We start from the raw sequence: 17487 nt of genomic DNA, 5'->3' as shown, positions 1-17487 counted from the left end.
GCAGAGCATATGTCTATGTGTTTCATGCTCTAACACTTTTTTGAGTCCTACGACGTGAAGCAATTCAGGAACTTCTTTTTAAGCAAGTGCTTGTTAAGCAGACAAAATCTTGCACTAGCAGATCTCGAACTCGATCTCCATCTCTCTCTCTCTTTCTCCCTTAGCTGTGCTACACACTTCCACCATGCCTCTTGCTCTACCTCTAAACAATACTTTAAAAAAAAAAAAAAAAAAAACTTGTTTTTTTTCCTGACTAGCTTATTAAACTAATTCTCTCTCATCTTTTGCTGTTTGACTATATAAAGAGAAGTCTCACTCACTGTCTCTTTTTCACCATCCAATTAATCTGTAATGTACTGCAGGCTGACTTCCTTCCCCACTAAGCTACTGAAATGGCCTCTCAAAGGTCACAGATTCCTCCTTATCACAGTTTTAACAGAGTTTCCTCAGCACTAATCTTCTTGATTTTCTTTTCAGCCCTCGACTCTGCTAACTATTCACTCTTCCTTGCCGTGTGCCTAAGTGCTCAGACAATAAACACTGGAGGAATGCAAACCACAAAGATATTTCAGCAGCATCATTTAAACTGGGTTTTAATGTCTCTCAATTCAAGTCACTCTGCTCTTAGAATGTGCAACATTTATCATGACTTCTTCAACCACATATAGAAGGGAATATATGTAACTTGCTGAGACCAAACGTGGATTCTCTTAGCAGTTGTGGCTAATTATTTTTGAAAAATCTGCATGTCAAAATACACGCAGATTGACACATTTAAGATTTTAAAAAATGTTACCTGCTTGTGTGCTTTTCTAGTGTGTGGCTTATGATTATGTTTACCAACAGACTAAATCAGTTTATTCTGTATTTGCTGTATTTATTACCAAGAACTTGGAGAGGGGCAAGGAAGCAAGACAGGAAAGAACCCTATGTTAGGAGCCCTTGGAGGAAGGCTGACCTGCTTTTTCTCCACAAGAGGATGGGGTCATTCAACCCTTCCCACACTGGGATTAATTAAAGAGGCCTCTGAGAAGATAATGAATGTGGATAAGGATGCAGGACCTCTGTACCTGGGCTGCTATCAATCTCATCCTCACTAAAACTGTCATCTTGAGGCTCTATGGTTGCCTCCCTTCATTCTTGCTCTAGTGCAGTCAGCTTTTGGTAGGTTCCATCCCTTCCTTCTCCCTCATTATGTCTGAGAAATCGCTTTTTGTTTAATCCTGTAGTTTTTAGCTGACAGCCAAAGTGAGATGGATCCAGAGGGTAAACTCAAGGGATGGAAGCCTACCTTAGATGACATCCCAATTAATGTTACCCTTGTGTTTCTGTGTAGTATATCCCTAATTTCTAAGTTACGAATAATAATGAAGGGAAAACTCTCTGAGCTACAGATAGTGAATCTTCTATTAACAAGAAAGGCATTTCTTCAAAACATCCAGAAATACAGGTGAGGACATTAGGGTTTTTTCATAACTAATAGAACCTATTCCTTCCAGATTACAGATTTCATACATATGGTAGTGCCTAACTGCTCCTCCTAGTAGTGATTACTTCTATGAGAAGTTCAGCTACTCCTGACTAATTACACATTTTAATGGTGATAGAAATGTTTCAAGAGTCCCCTGTGCCTGCCTGGATTGGAGAGACAAATAAACAGCCAATAATGTGAGCAAAGAGAAACCTAGAAACAGTAAGAGGACATTAGTCCTACTACCAAAGAAAAGACTACACCATTCCAGAGACAGAAACTTTCTAGATTCCTAGGTAGTCACCTTACCTAAGTTTAAGTCAGTAGATGTAATGTGAAGGAAAAGATCAATGTAAACAGTGAACTTTTGATAGGACCCTGCCTTTTCAATGGCTTCTCTTCTGTTCAGTGTCATTAACTTGTCCAGTGAGTATCAGTTACTTTCTCAGCATGTTTTCCCTGTAGAGAGAACATAGTGAGGAGCAGTAGAAAGAACATAGGCTTTGAAAGTAGAGAGATCTTGGGTGGAAAACCTGCTTCAGTTTTATTAGTTGCATAGTTGAATAATGTACTCACCATCTCTAACTCTCAGTTTTCTCATCTGTGAGATGTAAATAAAAATAGTACTTGAGAGCTGGGTGCAGTGGCTCACACTTGTAATCCCAACACTTTGGGAGGCCAAGACAGGAGCATCACTTGAATCCAGGAGTTTGAGGCCACTTTGGGCAACAGAGTGAGACCCCATTTCTACAAAAAAATAAAAAATCTCTAATAAAATTTAATTAAAAAATAGTACTTACCTCATGAGGGTGCTGAGAAAATGTCATACTATGCATATAAAGCACTTAATTGAGAGTTTTATATTTAATAGGAACTCAAAAAATTATGTCTATTTTGATTAACAAAAGGAATCATTTCTTTGTGATATTAACTTATTCATTTTGGTAAACATGATATGGTTTTGCTCTGTGCCTCCACCCAAATCTCATCTTAAATTGTATTCCCCACATTTCAGGGGAGGGACCCAGTGGGAAGTGATCGGATCATGGGGGCAGTTTCCCCCATGCTGTTCTCATGATAGCGAGTGAGTTCTCACAAGATCTGATGGTTTAAAAGTCTGGCATTGCCCCAGTTCCTCTCTCTCTCCTGCCGCCATAAGAAGACAGGTCTTTCTTCCCCTTCCACCATGATTGTAAGTTGTCTGCAACCCCTGAGTCATGCTTTCTGTTAAGCCTGCCTGTTAGTCAAACTTTTTTTCTTCATAAATTACCCAATCTCAGGTAGTTCTTTATAGCAGTGTGAAAATTTACTAATATAAAACTTATTATTTATATCTACTGATTTCAGATGAAGGAATATATCTGCAAAGATACACTGCCTTTTCCACTCTACCTTGTACATTTTAAATGCACCACTGAAATTCTGCCAGAAAATACAGGGGAAAGCCTATCTCTTTAAGAATATACAATTATAGTTGACAGTCAACCACCTTGAAGAAGCAATTCTGGATTAATTAACAGTGACCCAAAATTAAACACAACAGTAATTAGAGAACAACTTGATGGTCCCAGAAAGCATGGTCTTGGGAATAATGAATGCTTATCATTCTTGTTTGCTATCTAAGTGGGAGTTATCAACATTAGTTACCCAGATTTTTCATCAAAAGTAGGAAAAATGCATAAGGTACTGCCATCAAGAGAAACTTTTAAATATTTGTTATTTTAAAACAAATTAAATACTTTTATATTCATATCTATGATAGAGGATACCTTCTTGAACACAAATTAGTCTATCCTATATTTTTCTTTAAGCAACACATTTCATTAAGAAAACTATTAAGAGGAAATTGTTTTCGGAAATTGAAATTGTTGGTTTCTTTCCTAGAGAAAGAAGAAATGTTTCATAACAGGGTTAGAAATGTAAGTATAACATAGAACTATATAGCAAACCAAGAGAGAAGTATTTCTTCAACTAATATGAATGTATTTTAGAAATACTTATGTATAAGTATGTATCTAGTCTATTGCATTCTAATATCATTTTTTCTACATATAATTAGGGAAAAATAGATTCATCTTCCACCTAGTTCATTTCTCATTTTCAAATACATTGTTATAAGCAGGCTTATATACCGATTGATGGTAGTTTTCTTTAAATATTACCAAAATAATCTGTAGTTGAAGGTAAGAGCTAAAAATCCATTCCCTTTGACCACCTCTGAATACCCCAAGAAAATAATATTTAAGGAATTTTTTTAAGTATAAAGCCACAACAAACCACGAGAAAGAAGACAACAGTAATAAAGTTTTAGAATTTCTACAGCTGACATTTTCAATATCTAAATGAATGTTGTTTTCAACCCAGAATTCTATATCCAGCCAAACTATCAAACAAGTATGAGGGCAGATGGAAACCATTTTCAAACATGTAAGATTTTAAATTTACCTACCACAAACTTTCAGTAATGTACTAGAGCAGTTGCTCCGCTAAAACAAGAGATTAAGTTAAGAAAGAAGACAATACAGGATCCAGAAATCACAAGATCCAACACAAGAAAGAGGTTGAAGGAATCCTCAGGATGACTGTGAAGGGCAATCCCCAGATGACTGCTATGAACAATGACAAGAAATTAAATAATACAGACTGGAGAGGGTTAGAAAGCCCTGGGAAAGACAGACTATTTGAAGTGTTTATGTGAAGAGATTTACATATCCAGGGGAATATTTGGGGATAATTTATTATTTTGTATTTAGAAACTAAAAAAAGTTTTTTTTAATGAGACTATGCAAAAAGTATCATAGAAGGATAGTGGTGAAGAGTATAGGCTCTTGGCCAGGTGCGTGGCTCACACCTATAATTCCACCACTTTGAGAGGCCAAGGCTGCTGGATCACTTGAGCCCAGAAGTTCGAGACCAGCCTGGGCAACATGGTGAAACCTCATCTTTACAAAAAATACAAAAAATTATCCAGGTGTGGTGGCATCTGCCTACAGTCCCAGATACTCAGGAGGCTAAGGTGGGAGGATCACCTGACCCCATGGAAGTTGAGGCTGAAATGAGCCAATGAGCCAAGACCACGCCATTGCACTCCAACCTGGGTGACAGAGTGAGACCCCCATCTCAAAAAAAAAAAAAAAAAAAAAAAAGGGTGTAGGCTTTTGAACCAGACTCTTTAGGTTTAAATCCTAGCTCTGCCACATATACTTTATTCTCCTCAAATTTAAAAGAGATAGTATTAACAGTGTTTATATTGTCATATTGAGGAATCTATGGATAATCTATGGACATCTCTAAGAACAATGTCTATCCACAACACAAGAGCTCCATATACAGTAGTAGTTGCAGTGTGTTTCATGACTCAGCAATATGTAGCATGTATAGTCAAAATAATATAAAATCAAATATTCAAAAACTGAAATTACAATAATACTGATGAAGAAAGATGGAAAGATGTTTACAATGAGTAGAAAGGGTATGTGTGGAAGTGAAGTTATTCTCAATATCTATTATTTGATAATACCTAAAAGTGAAAACCTCCAAAATAGTAATAGAGGCATGTTATTTAGAAGTGCAAATGAGACTACTAGAAGAATTAGGTTGATGAAGTAAAAATGGCTCCCCTTTGAAAGAAGGCATGGGTAGAAGAAAGGCACAATTTTTTCTTACAAACTTTGTAGAAAAAAAGTATTTGACCCCTTAAACACAGTGCATACAGATTTTAAACATTAAAACCAGACTTAAATCAAAAAAGCCACCTGTATGTAATTCCAAATCAAAAGCAATTTATAAAGCAGAACATAGAAGAGAATGGAGACAGTTTCGCTATCTGTGGAGACTAATACATATTGGATAACCATATACTTTCAGGGACAGAAATTAAGCTCTTTTAATGGATGTTTCTTGTACATGTCATTTTAGAAAACATCTGACCCTAACTGTCAGCCTTATTCTCTGTTTGGCAGAACTTCCCCTGGCTCTCTGTGTCACTGTAACAGGTGAATAACTAAGAAAAAACTGTGTCTGTAGACACTTGTTTATAATGGCATTCAGGGTCCTGGAGCTAGGCTGACAGATGCTCCTCCAGAAGGTTAATGAGATAAAGGTTCCTCCAGCTGGCCCTTAAGCAGAGATTACACCTGAGGGAAAGACAAGCAGATTATTCCAGAAACAGACACTGCTACATGTTCTTCATAAATTAACACCCTCATAAAGGTAAACCAAGAAGGTTATCCTCAATCATCTGGTATCAATATATAATTATTTTTCACATTTCTGTTACTTTTTAATGAGATTTGAGGTTGTTCTGTGATTGTTATCAGAATTACCAATGCACAAAAGCCAGAATGTATTTGGAAACTAGAAGAGCTATTTTTGTTTTTTGGATTTTTCTCCAAGTTCAAGGAACCAAAGGTAAGTTACTTAAATGTTTACTTTTAAATTGCTTATCTATAAAATCTACCGATAGAAGTGAATATTTAGAACCAACAAGGCTACCAATTGATCTCACGGGCTAGTATATAGTAGGCCTTGAATAAATATTGCTTGATTGATTGAATAATTAACTATCAGAAATGATTTTCACTTGATTTAATATTTACTACATGGTCTTAAGTGCAGTGAAGATTAACAAAATAGGAGAGATGAATGCATCCTATTTGCTGTTCTAAAACATTCATTGAAAATTCTTATTATTAATGTAAATAATATTAGTAGATCTGTGAAACTAACTCCATTTATCCACCGAAATTCAACAAATAAAACCTAAAGATAAAAGTAATGTTTTAAGTCATTTATGGTCAGACAAAAAAAAGTAAGTATTTCTTACCTTCTCACAATGAAATCATGAGTTGCTTTCCCTTAGAAAATAGCAAACATTCTTCATCTTCAGGGTTCATGATGACAACCACTTCAAAATTTGGTTGTTTTTGAAGTTGTACGCATAAAAGAACTAGGCAATGTATGTTCTTATGGCAAATCTGCATCTGAATATGAAATTAAAATAAGCCACAAACAGGATGTTTTAAGAAAAATAATGTGTGTTTTAAAAAAGAAACACACATGTTGGAGAAAGTTTGACTTTTTTATATAAGGATAAGCCTACCTATCATAATATACTCAATCTTTTTAAGACATTTGAAGTCAATAAGGTTAAGAATTTCTTTAAGAATGACATAGCTTCATGATGATAAACATTTTAACTAAAGTATTGGTTTGGAATATCCATGAAAAAGTAAAATTAATAGTCATTGCATGTGTAAGTCACAAAATAACTGTGATTCCATCAGTCATGTTATATGAAACTTCTCAGTGATTGCATTTGGAGGGAGAAAAAAATTTCTGGAAAAGATTTCTTCATGTTTTCACAATAGTGAAAGAAGCAAAATTTATTTACTTTTTCATTAAATTATCAATTATATATAAATATTTACATTTATAAAATCATTTTAATTAGAAATAAATAATGAGATTTTGGTATATTCTGAACTGAATCTGATGAAGTAAACCAATTTGACTATTTCGTAGACTTGATCAAGCAATTCAGCTGTGTTAAATTTTTTGTTACATTAATTCTGTTAATTTAACGATTTTTTCTATTTTCATATATTGCATATCAGCTATTATACACAATTCCAAATATATAATTATATATAATTTTTATATATAACAATTATATGTCATATAATTATAATTCTAATGTATTACATATACATATAATTTAATATATGTAATATATTATACATATAGGAATTGAAATGAAATAAGCTTATCAAGAAAACTGCCATTTGTTATATGCTTACTTCTAGGAAACAATGTCCAGTAATTGCATAATAAAAAATCCTAACATGTTACTTGTTTTTTTTAAATATAGATTTAGGGAGTACAAGTGCAGTTTTGTTACACCCATATATTGCACACTGGTGAAATCTGGGCTTTAGTGTAACCATCACCTGAATAGGGTACATTGTACTCATTGGGTAATTTTTCATCCCTCATTCCCCTTCCACTCTCTCATCTTTTTGAATGCCCAGTGTCTATTGTTCCACTCTCTATGTCTTTCTTGTGTATACATTATTTAGCTCCCACTTATAAATGAGACCACGTGATATTTGACTTTCTGTTTCTTAGTTATTTCACTTAAGAGAGCAGCCTCCAGTTCCATCCAGGTTGCTACAAAAGACATTATTTCATTCATTTTTTTGGCTGAGTAGCATTCCATTAATATATAACGATATTTTCTTTATTCATTCATTAGTTAACGTTCACTAGGGTTGATTCCCTATCTTTGCTATTGGTAATAGTGCTGCAATAAATATTCAAATGCAAGTATCTTTCTGATATAATGATTTATTTTCCTTTGGGTAGATACCCAGCAGTGGGATTGCTGGATCAAAGGGTAGTTCTATTTTTGGTTCTTAGGTAAATCTCCATATTGTTTTCCATAGAGGTCGTACTAATTTCCATTTCTGCCAACAGTGCATAAGCATTTACTGTTCTCCACATCTGTTATTTTCTGACTTTTGAAAAATAGCCGTTCTGACTTATGTGAGATAGTATCTCAATGTGGTTTTAATTTGCATTCCTCTGAGATTAGTGACATTGAGCTTTCTTTCATATGTTTGTTGGCCATTTGTATGTCTCCTTTTGCAAAATATCTGTTCATGTTCTTTGTTAATTTTTTAAAATAATTTTACCTTCTATTTTAAATACAGGGCATACATGTGCAGGTTAGTTACATAGGTATATTGCATGATGCTGAGTTTTGGGGTACAATTGACCCCATCATGCAGGTACTTAGCACAGTACTGAAGAGGAAGACTTTCAACCCTTGTCTCCTTCTTGCCCTCTTCCCTCTAGTAGTCCCAAATGTCTATGGTTGCCATCTTTATGTCCATGGGGACCCAGTGTTTAGCTCCCACTTATAAGTGAGAACATGCAGTATTGGGTTTTCTGTTCCTGCATTAATTTACTTAGGATAGCGGTCTCCAGCTTTATTCATGTTGTTGCAAAAGACATGATTTCATTTTTGGTTTGTTTTATGGCTGCAAAGTATTTTATGGTGTATATATACCACATTTTTTTTTTTTTGATCAACCAATGATGGGCACCTAGGTTGATTCCATGTCTTTGCTGTTGTGAATAGTGCTGTGATGAACTTGCAAGTGTATGTGTCTTTTTGGTAGAATGATTTATTTTCTTTTGGATATAAACCCAGTAATGGGATTGCTGGGTCAAATGGTAGTTCTGTTTTTAGTTATTTGAGAAGTCTTCTTTGACCACTTCTTGAGGAAGTTATTTAGTATTTTCTGTTGAGTTGTTTGTGTTCCTTATAGATTCTGGATATTAGCCCTTTGTTAGGTACATAATTTGCCAATATTTTCTTCCATTTTGTGTGATATCTATTTACTCCGTTGAATATTTCTTTTACTGTGCACAGGCATTTTACTTTAATTAAGTCCCATTTGTCTGTTTTTGGTTTTGTTACATTTGCTTTTGAGTTCTCAGTAACTAATTCTTTGTGTAGGCTAATGTCCAGAAGAGTTTTTCCTAGGTTTCCATTTATAATGTTTAGAGTTTTAAGGTCTCATGTTTAAGTCTTTTATCTCTATTGGGCTAATTTTTATATACAGTGAGGGATATTGGTCCAGTTTAATTCTTCTCCATATGGCTATCCAATTTTCCCAGTACCATTTATTGAATAGTGTCTTCTTTCCCCAGTGTATATTTTTGTCGACTATGTCAAAGATGAACTGGTTGTAGGTATGTGGGTTCTCTACTCTGTTCCATTCTATATATATCTTTTTATATCAGTACCATGCTGTTTTGATTATTATAGCCTTGTAGTATAATATAAATGTGATGCCTCTAGCTTTGTTCTTTTGTTGTTTTTTCTATATGAGCTCTTTTTTGGTTCCATATGAATATTAGTATTGTTTTTTCTAATTCTGTGAAAAATAGCATTGATATTTTGATAGGATTGCATTGAATTCGGGGATTGTTTTAAGAAGTATGGCCATTTCCTGGTGCGTTGGCTCACGCTTGTAATCCCAGCACTTTGGGAGGCTGAGGTGGGCGGATCTCTTGAGGTCAGAAGTTCAAGACCAGCCTGGCCAACATGGTGAAACCCCACCTATACTAAAAATATAAAAATTAGCCAGGCATGGTGATGGGTGCCTATAATCCCAGGTACTTGGGAGGCTGAGGCAGGAAAATCACTTGAACTCAACAGGGGTGGAAATTGCGGTAAGCTGAGATCATGCCACTGCACTCCAGCCTGGGTAACAGGGAAAGACTCTGTCTCCAAAAAAAAAAAAAAAAAAAAAGTATGGACATTTTAAAAATATTGATTCTTCCAAGCCATTACCATCAAATGATTTTCCATTTGTTTGTGTCACCTCTGAGTTCTTTCAGCAGTGTTCTGTAACTCTCCTTGTAGATCATTATTGGTGTGTAGAAATGCTACTGATATTATGGGCTGATTTTGTATCCCAAACCTTTACTGAGTTCATCTGTCAAATCTAGGAGTCTTTTGGAGGAGTCTTTAGGATTTTCTACGTATAAGATCATATCATCAGCAGCAAACAGATAATTCGACTCCTTCTTTTCCAATTTGGAATACTTTATTTCTTTCTTTTGCCTGATTACTCTGGCTAGGACTTCCAGCACTATGTTGAATAGGAGTGGTTAAAGTGGGCATCCTTGTCTTCTTCCAGTTCTTAGGGGTATGCTTTCAAATATTCCCCCATTCGGTACGATGTTAGCTGTGGGTTTGTCATACACGGCTTTAATTATTTTGAGGTATGTTCCTTCTATGTCTAGTTTCTTGATGGCTTTTATTGTGAAGTGATGCTATATTTAATCAAATGCTTTTTCTGTGTCTAAAGAGATGATCTTATAGTTTTTGTTTTTAATCCTGTTTATGTTGTGAATCACATTTATTGATTTGTATATGCTGAACCGTCTTTGCATCCCTGGAATAAAGCTCATCTGATTATGGTTATTGTCTTTTTCTTGTGCTGTTGGATTCGATTTGTTACTATTTTGTTGAGGATTTTTGCATCTATGTTAATCAGGGATATTGGTCTTTAGTTTTCTTTTTTTGTTGCGTCCTTGCCTGGCTTTGGTATCAGGGTGACACTGGCTTCATAGAATGAGCTAAGAAGGATTCCCTCCTCCTTGATTTTTTGAAATAGTTTCAGTAAGATTGGTACCCATTCTTTTTTGTATGTCTGGTAGAAATCAGCTGTAAATCTACCTGGTCCTGGGCTCTTATTTCTTAGGAGATTTTTTTATTACTGATTCAACCTCACTATTCATTATTGTTCTATTCAGGATTTCTATTTCTTCCTGGTTCAACCTTGAGAAGTTGTATGTCTCCAGGAATCTATCCATTTCCTCTCGGTTTTCAAGTTTGTGAGGGTAGAGATGCTCACAGAAGTTTCTGATGATCTTTTGTATTTCTGTGGTATCAGTAGTAATGTTGTCTTTTTCATTTGTGATTGTGCTTATATGAATTTTCTTGCTTTTTTCTTGGTTAATCTAGCTGGCAGTCTTTCAATATTCTTTAGCTTTTTGAAGAAACAACTTTTCATTTCATTGATGCTTTTTATTTTTTTTTTAGTCTCCATTTCATTTAGTTCTCCTTTGATGTTTGTTATTTATTTACTTCTACCTTTGGGTGTGATTTGTTTTTGTTTTTCTAGTTCCTTGATGTGTGACATTAGGTTGTTAATTTGTGATCTTTCTATCTTTTCATGTAAGCATAAAACACTATAAACTTCTCTCTTAGCACTGCTTTGGCTGTATCCCAGAGGTATGTTGTGTCTCTATTTTCGTAAGTTTCAATTTTTTTTAATTTCCGTGTTAATTTTGTCATTGACCCACAGATCACTCAGGAGTAGGTTATTTCTTTCCATGTACTTACATTGTTTTGAGTTCCTCTTGGGATTGATTTCTAGTTTTATTCCACTATGCTCTGAGAAGATACTTGATATAATTTCAATTTATTTAAATTTATTGATTCTTGTTTTGTGGTCTGACATACGGTTTTTCTTGGAAAATGTTCCATGCACTAATGAGAAGAATGTATATTCTGCAGTTGTTAAGTAGAATGTTCCATAAATGTCTGTTAGGTCCATTTGGTCTACAATACAATTTAAGTCCACTGTTTCTTTGTTGATTTTCTGTGTCAATGAGCTGTCTAGTGTTGCCAGTGGAATGTTAAAGGCCCCCAATATTATTGTATTGCTGCCTCTTTTGTTAGGTCTAGTAGAATTTGTTTTATGAATCTGGTTTTGAGTGCATATGTAGTTAGAAATGTTATATTTTCTTGTTAAATTGATCCCGTTATCATTATATAATGACCTGCTTTGTCTCTTTTTACTGCTGTTGATTTAGTGTCTGTTTTATTTTGTGTAACTATAGCTACTCCTTCCCACTTTTGGTTTCTGTTTACATAGAATTTTTTTTCTACCCCTTTAGCTTCAGTCTATGAGTGTTTTACCAAGTTTTTTATAAGCAGCACATCATTGGACCTTGTTTTTTAATCCATTTCACCAATTTTTATAGTTTTAAGTGGAGCATTTAATTCACTTACATTCAAGGTTAATATTAATATGTGGAGTTTTCTTTCTGTTATACTGTTAACTGTTACCTAATTGCTTTGTAGTCTCAGTTGTGTACTTTTATAACACCTGTATTGTATTTATGTTTGTTTTTATGATGGCAAATATTGTTTTTTCATTTCCATATTTAAAATTCCCTTGAGCATTTCTCATAGGGGTGGTCTAGAGGTGACAAATTTTCTTAGCATTTGCTTGTCTGGGAAAGACTTTATTTCCCCTTCATTTATGAAACTTAGTTTTTCAGGGTACAAAATTTATTGTTGACAGTTTTTCTTTATGCAGTCTGAAAATAGGACCTCAGTCTCTTCTGTTTTTAAGGTTTCTGCTGAGAAGTCTGCTGCTAATACTATGAGATTTCACTTATAGGTGATTAGAGGCTTTTCTCTTGCTGATTTTAGGATTTTTTTCTTCACACTGATTTTGGATAATCTGATGACTATATATCTCTGTGAAGTTCATTTTGCAATGGATGTTTCTGGAGTTCTCTGAGCCTCTTATAACTGGATGTCTAAATTTCTAGTAAAATTAGGGAAGTTTTCCTGAATTTCCTAAATTATATTTTCCAATCCTTTTACTTCTTATTTTCCCTCAGAAATACCTATTACATATAGGTTTGGATGTTTTACATAATCCCCCACTTCATGAAGGCTTTGTCCTTTTTAAAATTTTTTTATTCTTGTCTGACTGGGTTAATTCAAAAATCTGCCTTCAAGCTCTGATATTCTTTCTTTCACTTGGTCTAGTCTATTGTTAAAACTTTTTACAGCATTTTGTAATTCCTTCAATGAATTTTTTATTTGCAGACATCCTATCAGGTTTTTTATTTTAAATATTTATCTCTTTAGTAAATTTCTTCTTGAATTGTTTTTCTGATTTCTTTGTATTTGTTTTCAACTTTCTCTTAGAGCTCATTAAGCTTCTTTAAAATTAATATTTTGACTTCTTTATCTGGTATTTCAAAGATTTCATTTTGGTTAAGATCCATTGTGGGAGAGCTAGTGTAATCTTTTGGGGATCCTGTAACCCTCTGTTTTTTCACCAGAGTTTCACAGAGTTTCTTCTTATCTGCATAAACTACCTCTTCTTTCATTTTTGAATTTATTTGCATTTGGACAGGATTTTTTCCCCTTCAGGATGTAACTATAATGTATGTTGTATATACATTATAGTTACATCCTGAAGGGAGAAAAATAGTCTTTTGGCTTTGGTTCTGGGTGCTTTCACTGGCAATGACTCTATATGAGTTCCTTAGTTGTAGGTAGCCTTTGTACTAGGCATGTGAGCAAGTTCATTGTCTCCTATGGTGCCAATATGGCAGAGGTCTCAGGAAGCCAGCACTGTGCACTTGTGCCAGCAGATTGTGTATTAGGTTGTGCAGTTCCATCTCCAGGCCAGCAGGTAGTACTTACTTACTGGTAAGAGCCAGCTGAAGCAGAAGCTGATAGGTATATGCTTGATCTTTGTTTACCAGGAGAGGTTCTCCATTGTTCCAGGCAATGGGCTGATCTATGGAATGCACAGTGGCCTGAGCTCCCTCAGCACCTAAGTGAGAGACAATGCTGTGTGGAGTTGGACTGCCAAGCCCACCCTTGGATACCCCAATGGCAGGCACAAACAAGCCCTAAGAGGGGTGGCAAGGGAAGCTCCCGGTGAAATGTGCTGAGGTCTCCCCAGTGAGGAGAGGGAGCTACCTCAGCTCCATGGCTTGGGCAGGCAGAAACACAGTCTTCTTCCCTGTCATATTCCTGGCCCAGCTCTCAGGACACTCAGATTGTACAGACACCACTGCCTATCTCCAAGCTCCAATTTAGCCAATGGCCATTAAAAAAAAAAAAAAAAGAAAAAAAAATGGTTGCCCCATGGCTCTCCACTAAAATGTCTGTGGTGCAGAACCTCCTCCCTCAGCCCTGTTCTATGCAACAGGAACACTGCCACTCCATGACAGAAGGGGAGACACCTTACCTTTCCTGCAAGCCCCAGCCTGGTAGGCACATAGCCAGCAGGGATGCAGTAATTCCCAATAGCCCTAGAATGGCTGTCCTCCATTCTACCCCTAGAATGGCTGTCCTTTATTCTAGCAAGATTACACATGCCGTAACCTTCAGGAAGAGCAGCCTGTATCCACAACTGTATCCACAACAGTGGGTGGGGTAGGGAGATGAGTAGTCCCCCTCTCCATTCCTGTGCCTCAGCACTGAGGCTGCCTGACTGCTGGGGTGGACCATACTCTTCCCCATAGGGCTGAACACAACACCCACATCTCCTCTAGAAGCAGTGCAGTTACTCTCAGTCCATAAGCGGGAAGCTCTTGAGCACCAGAAAGCACACACTCTGGGTTCCTTTGTGCAAAGGGGTGCTCCCTTGGTGCACTGCACTCTTTTCCTTTAGGAGCAGCACTCCCTGAGGGCTGGAACAAGAGGAATACTGCAGCTCTCTTGGAGTCACCCAGCCCTATGTGGCTGCTGCAATTTTAGCAGATGCTGGGGAATGCCTGTGAGGAATTGGCAATGTGGAAACACAAGGGCTGAGATTTCCTGGGCAGAACTCAGTCATTCAATGGATGCAGCCCAAGAATCGTGCCTGCCACTGCAGTTTGGGTAGAGAAGGAGGACAAGCAACCCTGTACATGCTGGTATACTAGTGCAATGCCCTCAAGAAGTCACCAAATCACTGCCACACCAGTGTTTGGGTTCATGAGGACAGAGGAGCTCTCTGACATTTCAGATACCAAGGATCTGCCACCAGGGCAAGGAGAAACAAAAACACTCCCGCTAATCCTTTTCATGAAATACCAAGCCCCTCTGGGTTTCATCTCTGACAACCTCTTGCTTCCTTCTTTTCCTGTGCCCTAGTTTCTTCTGGTGAGTTCTCCTCTAGGCTCCAGCACTTTCCTCTTGAAATTCTGTGTAAAATCATTCAACTGTAACTTTGAGTCTTCTTTCTTTTTCTTTCTTATTTTATTTTAATTTAATTTATTTCATTTTATTTATTTTATTTTATTTTTTTGAGATGGAGTCTCACTTTATCACCCAGGCTGGAATGCAGTGGCACCGTCTCAGCTCACTACAACCTCTGCCTCCTGTGTTCCAGCGATTCGCCTGCCTCAGCCTCCCAAGTAGCTGTGACTACAGGTGCCTGCCACCATGCCTGGCTAATTTTTGTATTTTCAGTAGAGGCAGGGTTTCACTATATTGGCCAGGCTGGTCTCGAACTCCTGACCTCAAATAATCCACTCACCTCGGCCTCCTAAAGTGCTGGGATTACAGGCGTGAGCCACCCCAAGTCTTCTTTCTAAGGAGAACTGGCATCCATTCTCTCCAGTTAGCCATACTAGGGGAAAAAAAAAAAAAAAAACCTAACTTGCTACTCATTTAGGGCTTTTTATTTCATAAGTATCTTAGATGTGTTAGATCTGTGAATATATGTTAATCTTCAATTATTGAGGTCTATATTAATTAAAGTTTTACCTCAGCCAACTGGTTTCTTATTTGTAACCAATTAACCACCATGAGTGTATTTACATAGAAAAGTGTTTGGGGAGAGAAAAGAAAGGTTCAATTCAACACAACTAGCTGGTAAGCATAACGATTGGGTGTTTAGCTAAATTCAACGTTTCATTTTAAAAGATGAGTAGTTTTGAAAAAATAGGAGATGAAAATTACCAATAGTAGTTCCATCCAAACACAACCTATGCCAGCACTACTTTTTCTAGGTATGTGTATTTAATTTTTACATAATTGCAGTTCTACCACACACAAATTTTATATCAGCCTTTTTGTAGTTTTATTATGTCATATAAATGTTCTACATTGCCATCTAATTTTGACAAGCATCATTTTATTGGCTGCATAATGTTTCTTTCAGTAAATGTGTCAAGATTTGCTTTATCTAAATATTCAACAAAAGAAAACTAATTGTTACTAATTATTTTGTTATGGCAAATAACATTGCAATAAAGAGCTTTGCACATAAGCCTCAGTATTTAAGACTCAGCATAAATTCACTGAAGTAAAATTATTGAGTCAAAGCAATGTAAACAGCTTTATGGTATTTGATTCATATTGCCAAATTGTTTCTCAAAAGTTTTCCTATGCCCTTAGATGACTTTTTACCAATTTGATTCTACAGAATGCTTACCATATACCCAATACTGTGCTAGATACAGAATATACAATGATTTAAAGACATGCCAATATTTCAAAAGGCTTCTTTTAAGTTTTGCAGATTCTGAATGTAGTTTTTCACAGATACATAAAGGTGAGATAGCTTTGATTTCAAAATATTCATTAAATAAAATTGTTTTAGCACAAAAAAAGACAGTTGAAGAGCTCAAAGAACAATTACTTCAAAAAGACACCAAGGCTCCTTTCTTTGAGGTTCATAATGGAAATACCAGTTGCATCTGATATGTGCATCACTGCTTTTATGTTCTTACTTTTCCATTTCACCTAAATAATTTCATTTAATTGCTTGTGACATTCAATGTATAAGAGAAAGAGAAAAAAGAAAATTTACCCTTGCCAAGTCCTAAAATGGAAATAATGTTTATCTTAGTATGTGTCTTTTACATTACATTTGGTTATACTAAATGAAACCTTTAACTAAGTTATTATTAGTTCACCAAGATAGGATAATTATTTTAGTAGCTGTGAGATGTCAGGGAATTTGCATTTTAAGACACTCCACTTCTTGCCAATCCTTTACTATTGGTGTATGCTCTCATTTCATGAAATTACACAAAAGGTATTTTGCTTCATTGTGGCTTCATTAACAGAGAACATACCTGAGATAGCTGCCTAATGGTAGGCACATTAACTGTACAGCCCCTATACTTTGTTCATCTGTGCTAGTCTCAAGTCAGTGTCATTCAAAGGTCCCAGACAGACTTTCTTGTTCAACTGTGTCTAAGAGGATGTCCTTAAAGTTGAAACTATGTAAATTAAAGATACTTCATGTACAAATGAACAATCTGTGGCAGCACACCTGAAACCATTTATTAGATTATATATTTGCTTTAGTAATAAAAAACACTTGCTGCCTTGTGGCCCCTTTAGGCTTGTGTCACTAAGGGACTATTGCATGTGAGAGCTAATTAAACAGGGCTGAAATGACCTACTACTTTCTTAGCCGTTTCTGTTTAATCATGAGAATGCAACCACCTTGAACATCAGCTGTATTTGCATACTAATTATGTCTGGAAATTCAGATTCTCTATACCTTTGGTGCCACTATCATTTTCATATATTTTATTGTTTTAAAATAATTCATCTGAAGCAAGAAAGTTTATTTTTCACAGTAGTCTCTAGGCTTATATTTTAATTGAGAATACATGTTGTAATGACCATACTAAAAGTCCTGACCTCCTCACTATATTATAAAGTATCACACTCAGGG

The 17487-nt window shown here is 35.8% G+C and overlaps 1 protein-coding gene across 2 annotated transcripts in view; it reads left to right on the top strand.

Annotated features, from left to right (window-relative positions):
* IMPG1 (interphotoreceptor matrix proteoglycan 1) overlaps positions 5641-17487 on the top strand; it is a 151549-nt gene continuing 139702 nt past the window's right edge. For both annotated transcript variants that reach the window (NM_001282368.2, NM_001563.4), the window contains exon 1: positions 5641-5881. In NM_001282368.2, coding sequence (NP_001269297.1) covers positions 5815-5881 — 67 coding nt within the window. In that variant the 5' untranslated portion in view covers positions 5641-5814. The remainder of the gene's footprint in view (positions 5882-17487) is intronic.

The sequence above is a fragment of the Homo sapiens genome, chromosome 6, assembly GCF_000001405.40.
Source record: "Homo sapiens chromosome 6, GRCh38.p14 Primary Assembly".
Classification (NCBI taxonomy): domain Eukaryota; kingdom Metazoa; phylum Chordata; class Mammalia; order Primates; family Hominidae; genus Homo; species Homo sapiens.
Note: the sequence above shows the minus strand (reverse complement) of the source record. Positions and strands in the feature narration are given on the sequence as shown.